This window comes from Homo sapiens, chromosome 14 (assembly GCF_000001405.40).
Source record: "Homo sapiens chromosome 14, GRCh38.p14 Primary Assembly".
In the NCBI taxonomy this organism is placed as follows: domain Eukaryota; kingdom Metazoa; phylum Chordata; class Mammalia; order Primates; family Hominidae; genus Homo; species Homo sapiens.
Window position 1 is genome coordinate 80,055,528 of NC_000014.9, and position 7,098 is coordinate 80,062,625.

The 7,098-nt window shown below is 36.0% G+C and overlaps 1 annotated feature.

Annotated features, from left to right (window-relative positions):
* Positions 699-993: a silencer, noted in NCBI's record as "tiled region #15402; K562 Repressive non-DNase unmatched - State 13:Ctcf". NCBI's record gives its function as "represses a minimal TATA promoter and a strong SV40 promoter by Sharpr-MPRA in K562 cells {active_cell/tissue: K562}" and the evidence as "EXISTENCE:reporter gene assay evidence [ECO:0000049][PMID:27701403]".

Below are 7,098 nucleotides of genomic sequence, written 5' to 3' on the forward strand. Positions count from 1 at the left end.
ATATTCAGGGCATATCAGAGATAAAAGAAGTCCAGAACATCAACCACCTCTCAACCTCTGACCACTGACCCCACCATTATATAGATGTAGTCATTGAGACCTAAAGGGGTAATGTAAATATATACGCTTTCATAGAAAATCGGTGCAGAAGCAGGAACAAACAAACACAGGATGTATGCTAACTGTGGACCAAAAACAAAATGAAAACTCCAAAACTGATTTTACTTATCTTTTCCCTAAATGCAAATAAAGCTCACAATATCAGTTGAGTCATCTATAAAACATGATTTAGGGAAAACTGGACGAGTGACAACAGAGGCTCTCTCCATCTCTTCCCAAGGCGGTACTCTCCCCTCTTTTGTTGAGTAATGTAGGGTAGAGAAAAAAATAAAACAGACCTACATAATTCCTCCAGAAAAGGGGACGGCACCTGAAAGCAAGAAGTATGTCTCCTTCCTCTTCTTCATCCTCTGCAGAGTTGTTCAAGAAGTCAGCTCTCAGGCACCAGCTAAAACTCTGGAGCCAGCACAACTCCAATTTTGGAAACTACCATTATGGAAAGAAGAAAGTGAGCACAGCCGTGAGAGGTCTATGGCTCCGAATATGGAACTCTTCATCCTCTCAAACCTTTCTCCAGCTTCCATAGAAGACTTCATCTTCTTATCTCTATTATCATTTTCCTGCTCAGTGAAAGTTGCTCTTCTACCTCCACCCCCAGGCCTGGGGTGTGTGTGTGTGTGTGTGTGCTCCTTTGCAACTCAGCTCTAGGTGTCCAAGCAAAAGCTTGAGTTTTGCCGTCTCTTCCTTCAGCTTGGGATTCCTGTGGAAGGAATTGCTGACAGTGAACACTGCCCACCACTAGAGAGCAGTCAAAGCCAACATTTTCCTGGGCAAAAACTTCTAAGAAGTTGTTTTCAAAGGAGCCAGGTTCTCTTGGTCCTCTCTTTCCCTCTCTCATCTTTCTCAGGGCGGAGCACCCTGTCGGTCTCCTTCACAAAGGCATATTCTACATGTCTATTTAGACATTATGGGCGCAATGAACACTGTGTTAATTCTGCCAGAGAAGCCATTGTCAAAAACGTTTGTTCTTGAAATCTTCATGTTTTTACCCCATCAGCACAAACACAGCATCAAGCTGACCTAGGTGAATCATAAAATGTTGAAAATAAAGGCAATCTTGCAGTTAAAAAAAGAGTTATCTTCATAAATCCATAAAGGAAACAAAATCAGACCTTGGTTGATTCTTCCCTAACCCTCTTTAGTGAGACTAACAGCAGACAAACCTAAGCAGGGTCCTATGCACATCTTCAGATATGCTTTATTCCTTCAGACAACATGCTTTTTCCAACCTTAATGAAGAGAACAATTGTGCCTCATATAGGCTGTCTTTCAAATTTCAGTAGGTCCATGTCTACATTATTTAACTTACTTTAATGAACAGTAAAAGAAAATAATTATTGCAGATTGGCCTGTTAGTGTGCAGGAAGAATCCTCTAGTCTACTAGACTGGAAGGTGAAGAAAGGGAAAAAGAACTTCTGGAAGGAAAGGTAGCTGGATTCACATTCACTCTGGATTCAACCTTAGATTTACATTTGAATCATGTCTTTGCCACTTGCTTAAGTGTAACCTCAGGCAAGTTACTTAAGTTCTCTCTAAATCTTAGTTTCTTCCTCTGTAAATTGGAGGTCATAAGTGTTTTCATCAAATAGCATAGTTTTAAGAATTAAAAGAACAGTGTATGTAAAGCACTTAATAAAGATTTGCTGTTATTGTTCAGGAAGAGAACTTTGTGACTTATTTCTGACTTCTTCCTCTATTGCTTTATTTCTATACATCCAATTTCAATTTTAATTTTGCTAAATATTCATTATACATGTTTTATGTTCCATGTATAATATAATTCTGATCCTCAAGAGGTTACAATGTGGTTTTTAAAAGAGATAAATATGAAGGAATGAAATACAAAGAAGACACATCTTATAACATTAGATTCTAAAGATAACACATAACACAGAAGGTCTATATTGTCAATACTACCCGCAAGAGTCCCAGAACTGGGCTTCTCATAAAGTCCAGTTCTACATATACATATATATGAGTTTTTTTAACTCTTTATTACCCAGCATTAAAGATTAATAAATTTATGGCTGAAATGAATGCACCAAAGTCACCCCTGTTATTGGTATCACCAGCTTCTTGCTTGACCTCTTACATAATAAGAATCACATCTCAGTCATGAAAAAGAACTTTTAAATCAATTCACACTTATTTTCTGAGATTCTTTCAGGCTTGGTTGCATTCATTGCCTGTTTAATATAAATGATGCAATAGCACCATTGCCAAGCACCTTGAGTTGGATTCTTTCAGCCGATGCCCTGAGCAATTTAACTCCACGCTATGGGCTAAATGGAAATTCAGTCCACTTGTTGTTGGAGCACAAAACAAAGTTCAAGTAATTATCACTGTAGGGCATTTAGGGAAGGATCCACAGAAGATGGAATTGAACTTGCATGATGAGTTGGATTTTAATAAAGAAAGACGATGAGGAAGAAAAGGAGATTATACAAGGATGAGGGAAGAACATGATTAAAGACAGCAAGAAAGAAGGGAAAATAGCATTTATTGATTAACCCCTATGAAACTAGTTGGACACCTTGACTCCCTTAACTTGTTTCATTGTCTCCACAAACCTGAAAGGTTTATAGGATTAGCTCCATTCTTGCCAATCAAGGGAACATGAGATGGAGGATGTGCAATAAAGTCACACAGCCAGTAAGCAGCAAAACCAGGATTTGTATTCAGATGAACAGAATTCCAAAATACATGCCCACTATGCCACATTGCCAAAGGCAAAAAGAAGTATAATTACAGAGGAGGTGATGCTGAAATAAAAGCAAAACCATTGCATTGTCTCTTTGAGAGACAATAAACATTTTAACAGGGTTTTCTTTTTTATTAAAAAGTGCTTGCTAAACATTAAAAAATGATAACTATACGTTGCCACAATTTTCCCCCTGCAGCTGGGGACTTGCTCATAGATGACCACTGACTTTTTCATAACCAAGGCTAATCAAGAGACCAACTAGCATTTTGAAAAAAATGAGAGAAAGTCTGAGGTTAAGCAGATAAAAGAGTTATGAGTGAGTTAGAAAATAATGGATGCTAAGTGGAAAGGATGCTATAGATGGGAAAAGAACCTAGCCACTATGAATATATCAAGTAGTCAAATGTGTCCTTTTTTAGGAAACTATAACCCATCTGTTTGAAATAGAGATATTTCTTTATTATTGCTGTTCTTTCATTAATTAGAGCTGATCCAAGTCTAAACTCTAGCCCCTACCTTAAGAAGTTACAAAGATCTCATTTTTCAAGATCTAGCTAAAAAAGCACTTCTTTCTAAAAGGCTTATTTAATCCCTTACAGCGAGATTTTTGAACTCTTACAGGCATTTTTGTTTGTATCTATATTTTTTATTTATTGATGGCTTATCTTTCCTTTTAGACTGTAAGGTCCTGGAAACTACGGTAAGTATGATTCATTATTGTATGTCCAGACCCTGCTTTACATATAGTCAGCACTCAAAATATTTGTTGGGTGAATATTGCAAGTGTTTCAGATGGGTTAGCACCAGCTTTTCAAATCAAGCGTTATGTATACATAAATTATTTTCTGCCTATTCTTTTTTTCCATTAGTCATCTCATGGTCACTGCAATAATTGTAGATTCTATAACATCCTGAGTGAATGGACTACCCTGCTGAACAAATAAACTTAGTGAATCTGGATTTCCAAATGAAACTGGTTCCCCATCTCTCACTTTAAACAAAAATAAACTCAAGATGAATCAAAGACCTAATTCAAGACCTGAAACCCTAAAAATTCTAGAAGATAACATTGGAAAAACCCTTCTGGATATTGGCCTAGGCAAATAATTCATGACTAAGACACCAAAAGCAAATGCAACAAGAACAAAAATAAGTAAATAGAAGCTAATTAAACTAAAAAGCTCCTGCACACCAAAAGAAATAATCAGCAGAGTAAACAGACAACCCACAGAGTGGGAGAAAATATTTGCAAACTATGCATCTGACAAAGGACTAATATCTGGAATCTACAAGGAACTCAAACAAATCATCCAGAAAAAGTCAAATAATCCCATCAATAAGTGGGCAAGATATGAATAGAAAGTTCATCATCAAAAGAAGATGAACAAGCAGCCAACCAACATATGAAAAAAGTGCTCAACCTCACTAATTATCAAGAAAATGCAAATTAAAACCACAATGGGATACTGCACCTTTCTTCTACGAGAATGGCCATAATTTAAAAGTCAAAAAACAATAGATACTGGCATGGCTGTGGTGCAAAGAGAACACTTTTACACTTCTGCTGGGAATGTAAGTCAGTACATCCTCTATGGAAAACAGTATGGAGATTCCTTAAAGAACTAAAAGTAGATCTACCGTACAACCCAGCAATCCCACTACTGGATATCTATTCAAATGAAAAGAAGTCATTATGTGAAAAAGACACATACACACGCAAGTTTATAGCAGCACAATTAACAATTACAAAGATACAGAACAAACCCAAGTGCTCATCGATCAAAAAGTAGATAATGAAAATGTGGTATATGTACACCATGGAATACTACTCAGCCATAACAAGGAATGAAATAGTGGTCTTTTGCAGTAACTTGGATGGTGCTAGAGACCGTTATTCTAAGTGAAGTAACTCATGAATGTAAAACAAAATACCATATGTTCTCACTAATAAGTGGGAGCTAAAGCTATGAGGTCACAAAGACATTACAGAGTGACATAATGGATTTTGGAGACTCACTGTGTGGGTGGAGATTGGGAGAGAGGGTGATGGATAAAAGACTACATATTGGGTATGGTGTATACTGCTCAGGTGACAGAAAATGTCAGAATTCACCATTATAGAATCCCATCCATGTAACCAAAAACCACTTGTACCCCAAAAGCTATTGAAATAAAAAAAAAATAGAAATGATATTAAAAGATCAAAATTCTGCATAGAATTAATTATAGGAAAAATATTTATCACTAATAGCCCAAAGTGATTATAGCTTTTGTTAAAGCCACCGAATAAAACTTTTCGTCAAAAGGGTTCCATAATTTCAGGCTTCAATTCACTTCTAGCAGTGACATTTAAAACCTACAAAGAGTAAAGCAATGAGACATAGTTATGGTGAAAACAAAATAAATAACTATGTGGACCAAAATCCAAGCCCACAAGTGATGCTGAAGCTCAAAGCTACAGAGGTCTGAAGTCAAAAGCAGACTAGGCCACTCAGAGAGCTGGCTCTTGCAGAGACCTAGTGACTACAAGGGTTCAACAAGAGTCGGGAGGTAGGAGGGAGCAGATTCACTGTTTAAAACCAGGGAAAAGTGGATCTCTTCACCTGCAAAAGCGTGGTTTGGGGTGGGTGGGTGGGTGGCTGCTGTGATGGTTAATACTGAGGGTCTACCTGATTGGATTGAAGGATGTGAACTATTGCTCCTGGATGTATCTGTAAGGGTGTTGCCAAAGGAGATTCACTTTTGAGTTAGTGGGCTGGGAAAGGCAGACCCACCCTTAATCTGGGTGGGCACCATATAATCAGATGCCAGTGTGGCTAGAATATAAAACAGGCAGAAAAACGTGAAAAGGTTAGAATGGCTTAGACTCCCAGCCTACATCTTTCTCCCGTGCTAGATGCTTCCTGCCCTTTAACATTGGACTTGAAGTTCTTCAGCTTTGGGACTGGGACTGGCTTCCTTGCTCCTCAGCTTGCAGATAGCCTATTGTGGGACCTTGTGATTGTGTGAGTTAACACTCCTTAATAAACCCCCACACATATCTAGAGGATATATATTTACATATCCAGAGGAAGTTGTTATACAACTATCTAGAGGAAGCTATATATACTTATATAAGATATATTTACATATCTAGAGGAAGTATATATTTGATACACAACTTCCTCTAGATATGTAAATATATCTTAATATTTTTCTGAATCATATAAAAGAAAGCTACAGAAATTATATCTATTTACCCCTAAGTACTTATATTTGTATAACCACAATAAGATAATAAAAATCAGGAAAATAATAAAGATACAACACTATTCTATAATCTATAAAACTTACTCAAATTTTGTTCATTGTCCCAATATTATTCTTTACAGCAAATAAAGAAGAATAAATATGCTTTAGGATCACATAATTCATTTAGTTGTCATGTAACTTTCATATCTTGAATCAGTCTCTTTTTGTCTCTAATGACATAAAAATTTTGCAGATGTCCCTCAATTTATGGATGTCTGATGTTTCCTCAAAGTTAGATTTGGGTTATACCCTCTTGTCAGGAATACTACAGAAGTGATTTGGCTTCCATGGCTTTTAATACAAAGTCTGCAGTAATTCTTATCTTTTGTCTCACTAAATAATGTTGGGGGGTCGTTCTTGCTGTTTTTAAGATTCATCACTTTATTAATGGTTTTTACTAATTTAATTACCATGTTCCTTGCTGTAGTTCTTATTTTCCAATTATATATATGCTAGGTCCCTTGAAAGTTCCTCAGGATACTGAGTCTCTATTCATGTTTTTAAATCTTTTCTCTATGCTCCATTTAGTTAGGATAGTTTCTACGGCTGTATAGCTAAGTCAAATAATCTTTACTTCTGCAGTGTCAGTTCTGCTGTAAATACTGTCCAGTGAATTTTTTAAATTTCAGATACTGTATTTCACAAATAAATGATTCTTTTGGTGTTTTTATATCTCTTAATTCTCTCTTCATTATGTTCATATTTTATTTAAATATTTTATTTTATTTAAATATTTAAATATTTAAATCCTTGAGAATGTTATATATATATACACACACACACATATATATATACAGGGACATATATATATATGTCCCTGTTCTGCTAATTCCATCGTCTCATTTTTATGTCCGTTTCTACTAATTTATTTTCTTCTGATTATGAGTCATATTTTCCTAATTCTTGACATGTTCTACTAAAAACATTCTAGTAATGTTTTTATTAGATGCTGGATCTTGTGATTTGTATGTTTTTCAGTGCC